The following is a 19,741-nucleotide window of genomic DNA, read 5'->3' as shown; positions in this document are numbered from 1 at the left end:
TGCTACAAAGGGCGGGGCTAGAATCTGCTTATGAATTTTACAGGGATGTAGATTTAATGTCTGTATCATGAAGAATGTTTTTATTGTTAGTACCTTACAACAGAAGCAATCTACTGAGTGTTAACTCTGAATTTGGATAATCAACTTGAAGAATTTAAGGAAGAGCTTCATGAGTTTGCTAGGTGGTTGAACTAGAAAACTCTGAAGTTCTCTTTTAACATTAGTATTTAAAGGTTTTATGTTATGCCATTTTCTTATTAACTGGTAAATAGCACTCCAATTTTATGAGATAAACAGTGGTGAAAGTCTTTCCAAGAAGATTGGAAATAAACAGTGTCAGACTTCATCTTCTCAGTAAAGTCAAAAGACTTGAGTCTTCTAATTTTTTTTTTAAAAAAATTGTGAGCCATATTTGTCATGCCAACAGGACAGATCATCCTGACCCATGTTTTGGTACTGTCTGTGCCTTTGCTCATTGCATTGACTTCTTAATTTTAGCTGACCTGTTTTCATTTTCATTCTGTAATTCTGCATAGGGCTCAAAGAAAACAAAACACTCAGACTGGATCAAGGATCTTCTAAGCAACAATGAAAAAAAAATACAACTCAGCAGAATGGCTACAAGGGTAGTCTCTAAGGATAGATGTTTCTGTTTCTTACTCTTGTGTTTCAGGGTGCCCCTGAATCTACTGTGATGTTGGGTGTGTTGCATCTTGAAGGTGACCCAAGCTCAGGTTTTGATGATATGGCTTATTAGGTTCTTATCATGACTTGTGATTCCAGATGAATTATTAAGTGATGCAAACAAAACAGTACCTTTACTTTCATCACTTAGATTTGATTTTTGAGTCAGTCTAGTTTCTGTTTGAATCTCGTCTCCAACATTTGCCTATGTGAACTCAGAGCAGTTATTTTACCTCTGTGTTCTCTGTCTTTTTAAAAGGACAATTATAAGAATTTAACCAGATAGCATTGTAAAATACTAGGTATCTCATAAATGTCAGTAGTTTTTGCCTGAAGCCTAAGCTCTCAAGCAAAATAGGAACTTCTGCTTTGGCTGATTTGAGGCAGCTACTGTAACAATGGTAGAAGAAACCATCAGGAAAAAGCCACTTTAAAGCAGATATTCTGAGGCCTATTAAGGGGGTGGCCTATTAAGAGGCCACCTCTTAATAAAGATCAAAATGAACATTATTCGTCTCTGTTAAACTATGCACGCACAAAAGAATGTCTCTTGCCATAACTTTCTTCTCGACCCCCATGACTCCTCATGCCAGCCCATCCCAACATACCTTCCCTCACCTCAGCTGCATGGCTGACCTGCAGAGATTGGGCTTACCAGACAGGCAAGGTCCAGGGTGGAATGTGGATGTCTGAAAGCTGAAGATTAAATATTGCAGGTCAGAAAACCATGGCAGAAGCAGGTCAGGGCTGGTATTAGTTGTCAGAGGCAGCTTTGATATTGCAACTGTATCCCATCTTCCTCATCACAAAATTGCAATTGGCTTGTGTTTTCTTAACTTGAGAGCAAAACATGTATCTTTGGAATTGCACCACTTGGTATATTACTGAGAGCTTAGCTATTAACCCCCTATCACTCTCTCTATCAGTTTCTCTCCTCTCTAAAATGGAGCTAACAATAATTGTCTCCATTTACTCTGTGCTCCTTGTGTGTCAGGTACACAATTATCAAATGAAATTAAATAATATCTAAGATATAGATACTAGTAAAGGCTTTTGAAAAGGAGGCAGAGAGAAGCTTAGTAATTTGGGGGAAGGTCACACTGCCAATGCGTAGCCAATTTGGTCTCTACCTTGCAGATTGTAGACTTTCAGAACTTCTAATCTTTTTTAAAAAAAATAATTTTGAGCCATATTTGTCAGGCCAACGAGACAGATCATCCTGACTCATGTTTTGGTATTATCTGTGCCTTTACTCCTTGCATTGACTTCTTAATTTTAGCTGACCTGTTTTCATTTTCATTTTGTAATTCTGCATATGGCTCAATGATAACAAAACACTCAGACTGGATCAAGGATTTTCTGAGCAACAATTAGAAAAAATACCCGCACTCCATCTGAATTCTCAGGATTATTTCAAGATTCATGGGAAATTTTTTAAAAGGCAGGGGAGGGATTTTAAACAGAAAAGCTTAACATGTTTCATAAGTAAGTCATTTATGGCTAAACCCATGGCCAGGCATCTATACTGTCTTAGAATTTTCACATGGATAAGCTGCCTTCCTTCAACTTGTGCCACTTCTTCTAGTGAAATGGAAACCTGAAGGCATGGAATGTAGTAGGTGTTATTTACTCCATAGCAACAGTCCAGATTACAAATTGAAAGAAAGCAATGAGCAGAAGAAAAACATTAAAAGTTCGAAAGCCCCGTGCTTTTATACTTAGTCAGATTTCAATGCTTGAAGGGCTTATTATTTATTGAAGTTACCTTTTAGCAGTTGTTTTTCTAAAGAGTCTTTACGGCATTTCTGTCTATATTTTTAGTTGTGAAGATGTAATTCCAAATTGATGTCAACGTATTTTATTACACAGTTTCAAATTTGCGATGCTACTTTGCTGTCACTTTGCAACAGTGGAAGAGTGACAAAGACATACAAAAAAGATGGTTTTATGAATGACTGTTTTCCACAGGAAATGAAAGATTCACCTCTTCCACGTTGCTCCACGTCAGTAAGTTATGTCAGCTGGCTAAGTCATCATCCTTTTAGTCTCCCTCTGTCTCTGAATGTTACTTCCCTTAATGGATCTGCAAATGGCACTGACATTTTTAATCTGTTTGGCTCAGCATTCCCCAGAGATATATGAGAGAAAGAAAACCTATTCCCAGCCATAGAGCATGCCTCCATAAAGCATGACTGCTGAGCCAAAAAAAGCATCATAAAGATGCATATTAGCGGGGATACATGCAAAAAGGATGAGCTTAAAAGAGCCGACAAGCAATTAGTTCAAGCTTGGAACACTTTTAATCCACAACACGATCTTACCTTAGTGAAAGATGATGAAGTGCAGATCTGAACCCCATGTCCTTTTCATCTTGTAAGAGCACCGTAGCTGAGCATCTCAGGGCCCTTTTCTCTTGGCCCTGTTAGTACCCTTCTGAAGCTGTCAGCACCTACCGCCATGGAGATGAGAAACCCCACAGGAGAATCTCTCTCTTCTTTGCCTTTCCGGATACATTCACCACAGACAAAGGCCACTGAGTTCTCAGCTTCGCTCTAGTGAATCGACACTTTCTTTAACTGGTTCCCATGCCTACGCATAGTAGATAGTCTTGCCAATGGTGGCGGACAGAAAACAAGAACCAAGAATAGCCTTCTTCCATGCCTATTTACATCTTTGTTTTCTGATCAAACCTCTGGAAGCTTATATAATAATAAAAATCTTTCCATATCACAAAAGTGGCCACACATTACCCCTAAATTTCTTATTGTCCTGGAAGGCTGCATTTTCTCTTACTGACACCTCTAGGTCTTGTACAACCTCTTCCAAGTGTGTGCTTCTTAAGTGTAGGTGCTCTGTGATTGTGACAGCAAAGATTTTTCTATGCAAATGCACACTTTGTCTGACTATGTAACCCTATACCTATGGCAAACAGCATCTTGCCCAACATCATTTCATTTGGGTTTCAAGGAAGCGTATGCCCCCAGAAAGACTATCAGCCACCTCAGTAGTGACTCCAAGGACAAAGTTTAGATGTTCTTTCAACATGCTGGTCTTGTTTTGCTGTTTGTTCATTTGCTTCCTCTAAATTTCAGATTAGAGAGGGAGCAAGTTTCTTGTAAAGAAGCATTACTTGCCAGGTGCAGTGGCTCATTCCTGTAATTCCAGCACTTTGAGGGGCTGAGGCAGGAGGATGGTTTCAGCTCAGAAGTTTAAGACCAACCTGGGCAATGTAGTGAAACCTCATCTCTACTAAAAATAAAAAATAAATTAGCTGGGCACAGTAGCATGTGCCTGTAGTCCCAGCTATCTGGGATGCTGAGGTAGGAGGATCGCCTGGGATGCTGAGGTGGGAGGATCACTTGAACCCAGGAGATCGAGGCTGCAAGTTTGCTAGGATGACACCACTGAACTCCAGCCCAGGTGACAGAATGAAATCCTGTCTCAAAAAAAAAAAAAAAAGATAATAAAATAAAAATGAACCATTACCCAATAAATAGCACAGTAAATACTTGTGCTGTTTACTCAGATAATGGAGCTGGTAGAAAAGGAGTTTTGGAGTGAGGAAATCAATAATTGGTGTTTTATTGTGCAAAATTTGATATGCTTTCTGACAGCCAAATGAACATGTCAAGGAGACAATATATTAGTCTGGAGCTCAGGGGAGAATTTCAGAATGGAAATATAAGATTGGAAGTTATCAGTGTACATAGAGTAATTGCAACCATGAACATGGATGAAACAATACAAGAGTCAGAGTAGTTAGAAAGGAGAAGGATTCCAATGACGAAGGCCTGGGACAGCCTAATTTAAGTCTGGGAAAATGAGGAGGCTATAACTAAGAAGACTGAGAAAAAGAATTGCTTGAAGTAGGAGGAAAAATTGTGACATGTGATACGAAGTAAAGAAAGTGTTACAAGCAAAAGGCAGTGTGGTCGGGCATAGTGTCTCACCCCTGTAATCCTAGCACTTTGGGAGACTAAGGCGAGAGGATTGCTTGAGCCCAGGAGTTCGTGACCAGCCTGGGCAAAATAGTGAGACGCTGTCTTGACAAAAAAATATATATATATGTGTGTGTATATATATATATATATATATATATACACACACACATATATGCATATTATATACACATATACACATAAATATATATATACACATAAATATATAATACACATATATATACACAAAAATATATATACACATATATATTTATATACACATAAATATATATTAAATAAATTATATATATTATATACACATATAAATATATATATTAAATATATATATATAATATACATAAGCTGGATGATGGTGCACACATGTAGTCCCAGCTACTTGAGTGCCTAAGGTGGCAGGATCACTTGAGCCCAGGAGGTCAAGGCTACAGTGAGCCCTGGTCATGCCACTGCCCTCCAGCCAGAGCGGCAGAGTGAGACCCTGTCTCAAAAAAAAGGAAAGGAAAAAGAAAAAGTCAGTGATCATGTGTGTTAGATATTAACAATCAGTCAGGATAAGGACAAGAATTGACCATTGGATTTAGCAGTGTGATGTCACTGGTGACCTTGATGAAAGATGTCACAACAGAGTTTTGGAGATAAATGCCTGATTTGACTAGGGACGAGTAAAAACGGTGACAGGAAGTGTTGAAAGCATGCAGAAAGCCTACAGAGAGTTCCGCTGTCAAATGGGGTAGAAAAATGTGGTGATGGATGGGAAAGGATGTGGAGGTCCAAGTGGGGTTAATTTTTCAGGGAAATGGTTATTTGTTTTGTTTTAATTTTTCACATAAGATTTTGCCAACTGATTTTTTTAGTTAAGTAAATGTCCTGCAATTACTCTTGTGTGTCATTGCTATTAAAAATAACTACTTGTGCAGGTAGCGGTGGCTCACGCCTGTAATCCTAGCTCTTTGGGAGGCTGAGGCGGGCAGATCACGAGGTCAGGAGTTGGAGACCAGCCTGGCCAATATGGTGAAACCCCGTCTCTACTAAAGATACAAAAATTAGCCAGGCGTGGTGGCGCATGCCTGTAGTCCCAGCTACTCGGGAGGCTGAGACAGAAGAATTGCTTGAACCGGGGAGGCAGAGGTTGTAGTGAACTAAGATTGTGCCACTGCACTCCAGCCTGGGCAACAGAGAGAGACTCCATCTCAAAAAAAAAAAAAAAAAAAAAAAAAAAAAAGTACTTTTGGTGAACAAGAAGAAAGAAGAAGGTGTCCTGATTGGTCTCGTAGTTTCATTGTAAAATCATGGGGAGAGAATGGAATACTATTTTGAATCAGCCACTGGGTCCTTTGTGCATGTGATGTTACTAACCACTGGCTTCAACTAATCAGGTGAAAATGAATAATTCAATCAACTCTTTTCCATCTTTTTCTCTCATTTTTTCCACATCATGTAAAATACTTCACTTAATTCTTAAATCATTGCTTTTATAATCATATAAAACAACATAAACTATAGAAAATATAAATTCTGTGATAATACTTTTCAGTAAACGTTAACTAAAATGTCCTAAAATCCACAATTTAATTGTAATCTAATTCTAAATTACTTGTTCACTAAGAACATTGCTTGGTGTACAGTGAATGCTTAATACTTAAATCTTTAAAAAAATGGATGAGTGGCTAAATAACATAACACTAAAGAAATCTGCAAGTATTGGTAGCGGGCACCTGTAATCCCAGCTACTCGGGAAGCTGAGGCAGGAGAATTGTTTGAACCTGGGAGGTGGAGTTTGCAGTGAGCTGAGATGGTGCCACTGCACTCCAGCCTGGGTGACAGAGCGAGACTCTTTCTCAAAAAAAAAGAAATCTGCAATTATAATCGTTTATCTCAAGAATGATATTAGCATTAAGGCTATGTTATAGGTCTGAGTCTTTTACAAATCAAAAGCAAACATGAAACACCAGATGGTTAAATTGAGTCTACTTAACCTAGCAGATTGATATGTTAATGTAGCTAGAGACAGATAGATATAATTTTTATATACATATAGTTTTCATATAGCTTTTGCAGTACTATTGAGAAAGTACCTAAATTGTTCTGAACGGAATCATTTTAAATGCACAGAATATCCTAGATCTGGGTTTCTCAACCTCAATATTTAGGGCCAGAAAATTCTTTGTTGTGGGAAGATGACCTGTGGTTATGGCATTTAGTTTAACAGCATCCCTAAACTCTTCCCACTAGATGCCAGTATGACCCCAAACCCCAGTAGAGACATCCAAAAATGTGACCAGACATTGCCAGATGTCCCTTGGTGAGCAAAGTCACTCCAGGTTGAAAATCATTCTCTAGACTCAAATAACCAAGTAGACAAGTTTTATTCTTAGTTAGCAGAATGTATAATAGACTGTGGATTCACAAAATATATAAATAGCATTTCTTTCCTAAAATACAGTGAAGGTGAATGATTTAAGGAGGCAGTAAACGTGTAAAATGTGAACAAAAGGAAGCAATGTTTGTAACACCGAATTTGCTCTGTAGCAAAGTTTATGAAAATATAAACGTATAAGTAGAAAGCTGGACTTCTGGAAAAATGCGTAGGGATAAAGCACATTTTCATGGAGGAAGGAGTGCAAGTATTGGTTTTTCGGAGAATCATGTTAAAATTGGTTTAATTTCTTACCTTTAAAGTGAGAGGCAACACAGCAGTTAAGAATTGAGATAAAGTGCCAGTCTGCCAGTTAGAATCCTGTGTCTCACTATTTTAACACTCTGTGCCTCAATCCCCCATTCTGTAAAAGGAAGATAATAGAAATATATTAGCTCTTAGCAGAAGTAAATGAATTCATATTTGTAAAGCACTTAAAACAGTACCAGGCAAAAATAAATGTCATCTAAGTGTTTGTTAAGTCTGATTGGGAGAATATAAAGAAAGGTGTACATAGTTTGGTGAGTGAGAGTAATGTTTTTCGGGTGGTGAAAAGACAAACAGAAAATAAGAAGTACTGGAGTAAATTCCAGTACTGAAGACACGGGCAGAGAAGTATCAGGTAAGATGGAAGATCCACAAATGAAAGGCGTTGATCTTGGAGAAAAGCTGTACCACTATTCTTCTGATAGTCCGTATAATAATCAAACTAATCCAGTAATTTGAAATAGAGAAAACAATTGTCTGACTTATATGTAATACCACGTAGGCATTAGGAAATGAATACAATTTTTAAGTTTTACCGATTTTTCTTATCCAACTGAAAATTTTAAGTTGTTCTGTACAGCCTCAGCCCCTGCTGAAATCCTGCCTTCAGATAGACCCAAACAAACTTCACAGGTGCCATTTTTGCCGGCCTGAGGGCTTCCTGTTATTCTAACTGCCTGGTTACCATAGGATATAGAGGAAGTGTCTGAAGTTCTCACTGCTAAACGGACTTTCCTCCTGTAGATCTCTCACACTACTTATGATTCTAAAGTTATTTGAATCCCTCTGATGTATTTTCCTTTCTTTGACCAAACCGTGCTGAAGTGAAATTGATTATCCTAATAGATTTCAAAATCTGAAATCACAAATAAATCAGTGATGGGTTGGCTAACATGTAGTTCCTCTCAAATTAGTGATCATCATATCATTTTAAAACTTAACAGTGAGGCTTAATAAGGATTTTGGTTTGGGTCACTTTTTTGTGTGAATTTGAGCGAATTATTTTTTTCTTCTCCTTGTATCTACTCCCAAACACACATAGCACCAGGCAAAGACCCTCTGAGGATTGCCAAAATGACTGAGTGAAGAAATGCCATGAGAAAGATTCAACCCACAATATGAATCATGAGAAAGGCATTAACACCCAAGCATTTATTGCCCCAGCTCCTCCACAACACCCCTCAAGATGGCTGTCCGTCTCTACTTGACTGTTTTCGTGGACTAAGACCTCATTCACCCCTAAATGCATTCTATTCCTATTTTATGATGACTAGACCTTACCCATGAGGAAGTCCTTCCTTAAACTCAGATAAAAATGTGTCTCCCTATAGCTTTCACAAGATCTTCCTGTCCTCATGCTGTCCCCTGAAGCTCTGCAAAACAAGTCTCGTACTACTTCCAGGAGCCTGTTCTTCACATAAAGATAAACATTTTGTAGTTGCTTCTTTACCTTCTAACCCAGTCTTCATTTCTTGCAGTGAAAAATCTCCATTATATTATTTTCCTTGATATCTATAGTGATTGTTGAATCTGTCACTTTTGACAGAGAAAAGGGTGGGGACAAAAGTGAAAATCATGGGTCAGAAGTACAACTGGCATCAATCAATACTGCTGTGATATATGGTCAACTTATTCATAGGAAGCAGAGTGCTGGTGCATTTTAACTGCCTCTCTGGAGGAAATCAAAGGACTGATTTGTAGAGTTTTTCATTTCTGTGGTGTAAATACTCCACGCATGGCTGATGTCAGGTCACTGATATGAGGCTTCAGAATGTGGATTTGATAAGAGGTGTAAACAGTTAGCTCTTGTGAGCTAGTGGGAGCTGGCTCAGGCACTTAGAATTTGCTCAACACCTGGTTGTTCTTTGAATGTCTTTAAAAAATGTTATATATTTTAATTCATAATTATTGAGGTGCCGTTTGACCAGCCCCATATCAGTCCAGATTCTGTTCAAAATTCTACTTCAAAGGTTCCATTCCACTCAAAATTCAACTTCAAAGCTACTATGAGTGGAGGAAATACATAAAGTCATAGAAAAAGCTTCTAGCTTCTAATATTTGAGTCAGAAAAAAATTAATCTTCGATGACAGTGCTAGAAATAAAATTGGGGAAAGCCCGTATATCAGTGTACATTATAATTTAATAATATCTATATGCACACACACACGTAATACAATTATTATATGCCACTAGGCCATAAAGGTTTTTTTTTTTTTTAATCAAAGGGAAAAGAAAGAAGATTTCAACTGCTGTCTTGTTAAGAGGCATATGGCAAAAATGATTTATCTTAAATTTTTAAATTGTTTTCCTATAACTCAGCATTTAAGTCCTTATGATAAATTAATAAAATGTTATGAATATTCAAGTTAGAACTGTACTCATGAATAAAATTATTTTTATGTTTAGCCTTTTCCACACTTGATTGACTCCTAAATTCTTCAAAGCACGAATATGTTTGCTTTTGTTCTCCAGTGAATCCATTCTGCAGTAGTTACTTGTTGAGTCACATTTCCCCAAGGGTGCAATTTACACCCTTACTCTATTCATACTGAACCAAACTCGTTGAGACAAACTGTGTTCACACTGAATGAGAGTTACTAGGAAAATTTTTTTTAAATTATTACTTGGCTGCATCCTGGGATCTAAAATGGGGAGAAGTATGAGGTAGAGCTGGAGTGGTAAGCAGCATCTGGTAATTCATGTTAAAGAATTTGTATTATTCTAGGAAAGCATTAAAGAGCTTTGATCAGGAGACTAACACAATCTGATTAGCATAAAGATAAAACACTGAAGATCTGTATTTAAGATTCTGGCTCTAGTGTTGAGAACAGATTGGTCAGACAAGTGAGGAGGAGGTCATAACCTAGGAAACAGATTCAAGAGGGACTTGGAAGTCAGAATCAACAATAATTAGAAATCCATAATGAAGGAAAGAGAAGAAAATGGAGGTGAAGGAGCAGAGTAGAAGGATGGGAAAGAGTCAAGGTTCTTTGCAAGGAAAGAGTGGATACAGATGCAATCAGGTCTATGGATGGTAGACAAGAAGTTTGTGATTTTATTTTCCCTGTTAAATAGGGGTAGTGGGTAAAGGAGACAAGAGTAGAGATTTGAAGAGAACAGAAAATATTTGAAATAGTCACTGTAGAAAAATTGAAAACTATGCTATATGGGGCTGCGATGAGGGCCTGTTCTTAGTCACATTTCCTTGAGAATCTAATAGAATATGTATGTTTTTAAAAAGCATTCCTGGTGCTCCTGATGGAGCTCTTATTTCTCCATCCTCCTGCTCCTGACCTCCTCCTCTAATTTCTACTGAAACTCACCAAACAATATAAACACTTTTTGATTTAAAATTTTTAATAAGGTAACTCATTCCATTCTTGGTTCCTAGTTAGACCCCTAAATGGCCTTTCTAACAAAAACAGTGACATTCTCACAAAATATTTGCTCCAAAAATGTTTGCTAGAAACTTCCCAGGACAAATCCTGACAAGAGTGGGGAGACGGGGGCGCATGGGTTGTGCCATTGACATGTCCTTTGTGTGGATCCCCGTAATGCAGTGAACGAACAAACCTCCCAGTGAGGTCATGTCTCGTTTGGGGTTGAACGGCTAACTCTGTATCTGTGATCACATTAACAAAAGTGCACATAAAATGCCCAGGAATTTTTCCTTTGTGTGATTATGAAATAAAACTTACACAATATCGTGTCTGCAAAATGAGCATTTCACCATGGAGATTTCTTTGATTGTAATAGGGTTCAAAAGAGAATAGAGAAAATTTAATATGTTAGGACATGTTACCTCTTCAGTTGGCTGTGTCACGTACCTTTCTGCACTTCTGAAGTATCATATTTTAAATGTAGGTTGGTCTACACTCTAAACAATAAAGTTTATATCCAAAAACCCTGACCAAGTTACTAGCTGTAACTTGCTTTACCAGTAGAAGCTGTTGAGAACACTGAGGCAGAAACTCTAATATCCATTCACGCTCGCTCTGAGATGCTTGATTCTCAATAAAGGAGAAGGTTGTTATCACCTGATTATGAAGAGAATGACTTAATTCTTCACCCCACTTAATGTACATATTGTCACATCAATAGTACAAAAGATTGTTAATTTAGAAATATAGGCACCTATTATGATGTAATAATAATGATAGTTATTATTTATTGAATAAGCATTACATATTGGAACTTTGGTAATTGTCTTACAGAAATTATCCTTTAATTCTCAAACAACTTTAGAAGGTAGGTGCTAATGTTACTATAAAAATTTTTAAATAAATTAAAAATTAAATAAGTTCATAATACTTTTCCATGCTTACAAGTTGAATAAAAGGTATTGGCAGAATTTCAATGGAAACAATCTTATATGAGAGACCACATATTTCTCAGTGAATAAGGGCAAAATGGACCTAAGAAAATAGAGCCAATTTGAACTATCCACAGGCAAATGTCATATGACCTCTAAGTAGTTCCACAAAGAAAACAACCACCCAAATCAGACTGTATGCAGGACACTCACAAGCAGTGAGGCTTTTGCTGAAATGGACTGGAAAAAGGATTGAGTAGGCTGGGTGCGGTGGCTCATGCCTGTAATCCCAGCACTTTGGGAGACCCAGGTGGGCGGATCACGAGGTCAGGAGATCAAGACCATCCTGGCTAACACAGCGAAACCCCGTCTCTACTCAAAAATACAAAAAATTAGCCAGACATGGTGGTGGGCGCCTGTAGTCCCAGCTACTCGGGAGGCTGAGGCAGGAGAATGGTGTGAACCCGGGAGGCGGAGCTTGCAGTGAGCCGAGATAGTGCCACTGCACTACAGCCTGGGTGACAGAGCAAGACTCCATCTCAAAAAAAAAAAAAAAAAAAAAAAAAAAAAAGGATTAAGTAATATAAAATGCCAAATTATCACAGATTTGAGCTAGATCAAAGGGATCTTGACCCAAGTTTGAATCAGTTTCAACATTTTTTTTGGTACCACATTTGATATCCAGTGGCCCTAAATGATTTCCTAAATCTGGGCAGGGCTAATCTTGCCATTTAAAAGATTCTGTATAGAGATCCTAATAAAGATTGTGGAAATAAACAACGATCATCTGAACCAGAACAAGCAGAAATTATTTATCCAGAGCTTGCAAGGAAGACAGGCACGATCACTTTTGTTTGCCAGAGACTCACAGGCAGGCAGAGGAGTGGAAAATCTTTATAGTAGAAAGAGTAGAAAAGCTTCACGTTTGCCCTGATCAAAAGCTGTTGGCTGAGGAAGCTGGAGGTAGGCTATGTGGAAGCCGGGCTTCCTCTATAAATGGTTTGAGGAGCACATTTTCTTTTTCTGGTTGGTTCTAGGTTAGAAGTGAAGGCAAGCATAAGGAAAGCTGAGAGTCATTGACCAAGTTCTGACCATTTTGGGCCAAATGGCTACAAAGGTTATGATTGGGCTTCCTGGGCTGGTTCCTGCAGAGATTATGGTCAAAGTTGTTTTGTCTTACATGGTCTGGCCAGTATTTATTTGTATATTCAGCATCTCAAGATAAAAAACATAGTATGGTGGTAAATGCTACGTGGGACAGCAGCTTTACACAAACATGTTTCTTAAGCCTATAGCCCACACCAATACTTATAAATTGAGCTATTTGTGAATTAAACAAACAAAAGTAAATTATTCATATGCTCACATAAGTTGAATCAAGAAAATAATATCTAATTGCTTTTTTTTAGGGAAGCTTGGTTTTCTTAGAAGTCTGTCTGTTAGCCAATATATGAAAGGTTGATTGATTTAATTATAATTGAATCTGTCTGAACTTAATAAAACCTACTGTGACAAATGCTCAGTGATGACTGGTGATGATTTTCTGTGGACAAATTCTACGGCCTTGCAAGATAGGATTTGGAGAGCAAGAGTTCCTGCCGTTTCTCAGGACTGGTTAACTCTAGCCAGTAAGATGTGTCATGTTCTTGGAAACATGATTTGCCTACAGTGCAATTTACTTTCAAGTGTAATTCTATGTAGCGTCCTAAATTGTTTCAAACCTGCGGGGGACAGTGGTATAATAAATTTCAGCCCTATCAAATCTACCACCTCGAATTTGTTTAATCACAAAAAATTAAGAAAATATATGTTATTCCCCCCACCTTTCACCTCATTGACTAATAAATAAGTGCAATGGATGGTTACAATAATTTAAATACCTCACCTTCCCATCCTTTCATTCTAGATAATCTCTGTAGATAAAATACATACTTTTATTAATTGTTAGCAGTTCAAGTTCTTTCAACTTTTACAATTTCTCAAATTTCTAATTGCAACACTTACTACTGTTTTCTTCATGTAGATGTTTTCTCTTGTAGAAAGATACAATTGATATTCCCACCTTTCCAACTTCCCTTACCCTCCAAAGCTTGAAACTATTGCTATTCCTGCCATGAAAATAAAGACCTAAAGACAGTCTTGGCCAAAATAGTTGAGACAGTTATTCCATGGAGACAATTCTTGAAGGTTACTTTTATTTTCACTTTGAGTTTTTCCAAAGCCTTAAGTAAATGCAAATGTCACAATTGTTATTTCTCTTTAGGCTGTGAATTCTGGAAAATATAAAGGAAGCTTCAGAACACAGGGCTGTCTGGGGCACAAGAGACATTATGGAAGAAAACCTGAGTCATGAGCCATTGCATCAATACCAAATCGCAATTTAAACCAAGTTTATAGGATAAATATTTTTGACAATGCTTCATGTCTTTCACCTTTCCTAATCCATCATTAATTATTCCCCTTATTTGCCCTTTTTATTTGTTTTTTTTTTCCTTACTCCTTGTGAAACATGTTCTATTTTTTGTTATCTGTACTAAGATCGCCTGCTTGCTGACACCTAACCATATTCCAATAGTTATGGCAAATTACAGAATAATTGGCCAAGCCTCTTGAAAAGAATGAAAGATTTAAATAATAAGTAGAAAAATAAGTGCTTCCATGTGGTATTATCTTACCTCCCAATAATGGCCATAAGAAACTAAAAGCACAGTAAAAGAAAGAATTATTAGTAAGAAAATGAAAACAAAGCCCTCCTTCATTTCACTATGTTTCTCTACCCTTTTATAAGGAAAGCATGGAATCTCCTGGAGTCTCTCATTTTCTTGTCATCACTATCTATTATGGGTTAAATTGTGTCCCAGAAAAAGAAATTTTGAAGTTCTAACTCCTAGTACCTGCAAATGAGACCTGATTTGGAAATAGGGTCTTTGCAGATGTAATCAAGTTATGATAAAGTCATTAGAGTGGGCCCGGATCCAATACGACTGGTGTCCTTACAGGAGATCTGGACACAGACACACACACACAGAAGAATTCAGGTGAAGATGAATTGCACTGCTACAAGGAAGGAAAGCCCGGGGCTAGCAGAAGCTAAAAGTGGAAAGGGGACATTCTCCCTTAGAGGCTTCAGAAGGAGCAAGGCCCTCCCAACACTACACCTTGGCTCAGACTTCTAGCCTCTTGAACTGTGAGAAAATACATTTCTGTTGTTTTATGCCACCCAGTTTGCAATGCTTTGTCAAAGCAGCCTTAGACAAATAATACTATAGAGCATCCACACTTGCGTCCAAAAGGTTATTTCACCTTTTTCAGATTTTCTTCCATTTCTTCCTTTCTGAGGAATCTTTTACTAACTTTCAACCTTTGCAAATTGATGGACGTGTTGGTTATATTTTATGTGTCAGCTTGACTGGCGAAGGGTTGGCCAGATAGCTGGTAAAACATTACTTCTGGGTGTGTCTGTGAGGATGTCTGGCATTTGAGATTAGCATTTGAGTCAGTAGACTGAGTAAAGAATGCCCTCGCTAATGTGGGGGGCATCATGCAATCTGCTGAGGGTCTGGATGGAACAAAATGGTGGAGGAAGGACAAACATCTTTTCCTTTTTCTGGAGATGGGGCATCCATATTCTTCCCTCAGCCATCAGAGCTTCAGGTTTTTGGACCTTTGGACTTTAAATAAAATTTATACCATTGGCTTCCAAAATTCTCAGACCTTCTTAATCAGACTGAATTTCAGCACAGTTTTTCTAGTTCTCCAGCTGCAGATGGCATATTGTGGGACTTCTTAGCCTGCATAATTGAATAAGTCAGTTTTCATTATGAATCTCATCTATCTATCTATCTATCTATCTATCTATCTATCTATCTATCTATATCTATCATCTATCTATATCTATCTATATCTATCTGTCTATGTATCTATCTATCTATCTATCTATCTATCTATCTATTGGTTCTGTTTCTCTAGAGAACCTTGACTAATACAATGGACTAGTACATATTTCAGTTATTTCGAACTGTAAAACCAACTGCCTCTTACATAACTCATGCTCTGAGTTTGTTTTTCAGAAATGCTATTCTTAGGTTGTAAAACATCCCATGGTCAGGAAGTGATAAAAATCTTAAAATGTTGTTCTTTGACTTCACATGGTATCTACAGATCCATATTTTCTTGGAGGAAGGTAAACTTGCATATATGGTTTATTCCATAATTGTAAATATACAGGCTAAAAGTAGAAAACACTTATGTAAAAGATGTGATTTGAGTCATTTTGATCCTATATGGAAACTAAGACTCATAAAACAATAAAAACACAATGAAAAACAAAATTAGGAACTTGCTATGGTTCATTCCAATGTGCTTTTAGGTAGATGTTTTAGGTTTCTGTTATTTATAATGCAAAACAAATTTTAGCCTTTTTGGTGTTGTGTAGCATTCTTTTTTCTGTGTTAAGAATGAGGCTTAGCTTACACAATGCAAATAACCACAACCCCCCTCCAACCCAATAAATTACAGCTCTCACCCAAGCTGTCACAGGACATGGAATGTTAACATTTACTTGCATAGACTGATGAACTCCACACTCCCCGATTAAATGTAAATATTGCCCTGGAAATAAGTAAGGGAGAGGTGACTCTTGATAAAGTACATCAGGATGATTCAAGGGTATGTATTCAGTTCAAGCAAAGCAGCCCTTAAGTGTCTAATGAAGCCCTACCTAGGTAATAGCAAGAAACTAAAGGCTTATCTGGGAAAACAGCAGAAAACTATATTCTGCAACCAGTAGAATAGATGCCATGGAAACATCAGAGGAGTGGTGTGTGTGTGTGTGTGTATGTGTACTGGGGGATAAGGTGGGGTGCTGAGTGGAAGGAGCACCCCAAACAAATACTGCATGTTTACTTGTTTGCAGCAAATCCTATTAAGGAGAAAATCCCATTATTTATCATTCCTAAGCCTAAATTTTGATTCTTTGACCCCTGTAAATGCGTACTATTCCATAGGCCTCTCCTGCACTGTGTTGGAGGAGGGTAGCTGGTTGTTAGCAAATTTATGATGTATAAGACGTGATTGTAGTCCACAGGAAGTTAGTAAGCTATTTAGAAGGCAAGATATAACAAACAGGAAATTATCTTATCACTTAAGTTGTGTTTTGACTTCAATTTTATTTTAGTTAACAGTCAAATGAGTGGGAAATGGTGACAGATGATGGTCAAATGAGTAGGAGAGGAAGTAGACAGCATGAGTGAGTTCTGAGGAGGACCTACTCATGATTGGTGTAATTCTTCTGAAAAGGTGTTGTGTAAAGGGTAGATTGGGCTATCACTTTGAAAGATATGCTTAGATGGATGAAAGTCAAGTAGGGGAGAACTTAACATTCTCCAGATGGGAGAAAGAAACAAGGCATTTTTGTAAAGTGGGAAGGCTGGAGTCATATAAGAGAAGTGGAGGCAGAGAAGGCCAAAAGATCAAGCTGAGTCAAAACTGGGAAAACATTCACCGGTTAGGCTAAGGATTTTGAATCTTTGTTTCATAGCCACAAATGTCCTAAAGAATACTTCTGGACAATGTTTTTGTTACATTGCTGGCAACTGAGCTAAACAAAATGGTTGACACTTTTTCAGGTGATCTAAGTGGGTTAGCGGTATTGTGAGTGGGTTAGCGGTATTGTGAGTGGGTTAGCGGTATTGTGAGTGGGTTAGCCATATTGTGAGTGGGTTAGCGGTATTGTGAGTGGGTTAGCCGTATTGTGAGTGGGTTAGCGGTATTGTGAGTGGGTTAGCGGTATTGTGCACTATTTCATATATCCCTGCTAACCCGGGTAGATAAATCAAAAATTACTGAAGAGAAACTATAGAGCCTGATCATCCAAAATGATACTCTTGGGTTTTTCAATGTCTATCGTATGAACTTACTAAATGCACCCAATGAATTGGCAACACATTCTGTAAGTAGGACTCTGTGCCAGAATGAGGCTCATAATTCAGGCTAGAAAAGAAAAGTACCTGGGAAAATAAAGTCCAAGTGTTTCCATTGACCTCAATTACCCAAATAATGTGTGCAATGTTATCCAGCCAAAATGTAACAAAGGTGATCTGTTTTCTACTAGCTAAAGGTTTGTGAGATGACAGTGTTTTTAGGTCAGCTTTTCTCCTTATCTTAGAGTTTTCAAGCCTGTAGAATTTTCTTTAAAGGGAAAAACAAAAAACCCAGAACAATTACCCCCATTCAATCACAAAATCACCACCATCAGCCTTTCCATCCCTGTCCCTTTGGACAGAAGCAGAAACAGCCAGTTCTGCCTAGATTCCAGTTGCCCTGTTTTACCAGCACAATTACTTTGGCAGGAAGATAAGTAAGTGATTAAATCTGGGGTGGAGGCTAAAAAAATTAATGCTTGGGCAAATGATTTAACAGTGTCCTTGAGGTGCAGTGAGACAGTTGAGGCTGGATGGAAGTGGACTACACCAGTTTCCCTGTCGAGATCCCCTCTTTCAAAGCAGCAGTGCATAATTTAAACTTAGACCTGCAGTGGTGGAAGCAGTTATTACCACGGTTACAAAGTGTTAGCAGGATCGGCCTTTATCTTGAGTGTGATATAATTAGAGATTCTAAACAGAGTTAGTCAGAGGTGTGTGTTCTCTGTAAATACTGGAGTAACTAACTTTTAATCTTTTTATGTACATATAAATTTGATAAACAGAGATGTGGTAACCTTTTGAAAAAATGTCACTTGCGGTTGTAAGTCTAGTTTATAGCTAAATGTTTTCCCTCCTTCCCAGCAAGTTAAGATTATTTAATAGAGTGCCCTCGGGTTATAGACTACAGCAACTATGGAAACCCTGTAGTTTTATGCTTCAGTAACTGCAGGCATTATGTTTTTTTCACTGCCTCCCTCAAGTCACAGATTCCACCTTTGGGAACTATTAAAACATACAAACAAACAAACAAAAATTTTAAATGGTTTTGGGTGATGTTTTTCAACTTCAGGAATCTGGAAATGCTGAGAGTTAAATAAAAGTAAACATACTTATTCCCTCTTTTCTAGTAATTAAAACTCATATGCAAATTATGCAAGACTCTTAAATTAATTTAAAAATAAAAACTTACGGGGCCAACTGAAGTGGCTTAGACCCCAAAATTCCTGCTGTAGAACAGTCCTCAGAAAAAGAGTGAAATAAATGAGGATAGCGTGGCCCCAAGCATACGGCATGGTACCTGGCACAGAGTTGATACGTAACAACTACTGTATGAATTGAAACCATTTATAGGTTCAGGAAGAGGACATATAGGGATCAGAAGAAGAAATTGGCTTGATTTGCCTGTTTGTATTCCTGTGTTACATACAGCAACGTAGGACCAAAGTAGCCGGTTACAAAATGAGAAAAGCAAAAGAAAGAAAACTTTCACACGTTCTGGTGGAAACGAGACTAAAAACCTTTTCTCATTAAGTTTTAAAATCGAATTTGACTTTTTAAAAGTCAATTTTAAATTCAATTTTAAATTGAATTGACTTTTTAAACTGAGGACTTTTATATTACCAAGCCATATTAGATCTACATATTTTAAGTCATTCAAGCCATAGGACTAAAATCGGCCACTAGGCAAAACTATTGTGGTATAATGGTCAGAATCACATAAATAAACAGGTCATGCCACCTCCTTAATTTTTTTCCTAAGTTTCCTAGTTAGAAAAAAAAAAATCACTTGGCCTTATTTGATTTCTTTTCAATGGCAGCCACTAACCATTTTGAATATAGCCAAAGTGTACCATAAGTTACCCAAAAGAGGTAACTTTTCTTTCCATAGAGGACAAAATTTAATGAATAATTTGGAATTAACCCTGGTGACAAGCTTTAATCCCCTGGGAATGTTACCATTTCTAAAGTGCCTGTTATGAGTTGGTTGTTTCAATTTCATTGCCCCAATATCCCTAAGACAGGGGTCCTCAACCCCCAGGCCAGGGACCGGGACCAGTCCATGGCCTGTTAGGAACCGGGCCGCACAGCAGGCGGTGAACAGCAACAGCAGACATCCAGCATTACCATCTGAGCTCCTCCGCCTGCTGGATCAGCGGCAGCATTAGAGTCTCATAGAAG

General features: G+C 37.8%; 1 protein-coding gene across 22 annotated transcripts in view; it reads right to left on the bottom strand.

Moving 5' to 3' along the window:
• The window catches only part of KCNJ16 (potassium inwardly rectifying channel subfamily J member 16), a 60,384-nt gene that overhangs the window by 27,528 nt on the left and 13,115 nt on the right, over positions 1 to 19,741 (bottom strand). For 7 of the 22 annotated variants that reach the window (NM_001291622.3, XM_017024610.2, NM_001270422.2 and 4 more), the window contains exon 2: positions 7,315 to 7,423. The exons of 2 other annotated variants lie outside the window; for them this stretch is intronic. The gene's annotated coding sequence lies outside the window, so the exon portion shown is untranslated. Of the gene's footprint in view, positions 1 to 1,292; positions 1,381 to 3,005; positions 3,237 to 7,314; positions 7,424 to 19,741 lie in introns of those variants that run through there. 13 more of the 22 variants (XM_047435950.1, XM_047435955.1, XM_047435951.1 and 10 more) reach the window with 9 other exon arrangements.

Source organism: Homo sapiens, chromosome 17 (assembly GCF_000001405.40).
Source record: "Homo sapiens chromosome 17, GRCh38.p14 Primary Assembly".
Taxonomy (NCBI): domain Eukaryota; kingdom Metazoa; phylum Chordata; class Mammalia; order Primates; family Hominidae; genus Homo; species Homo sapiens.
Note: the sequence above shows the minus strand (reverse complement) of the source record. Positions and strands in the feature narration are given on the sequence as shown.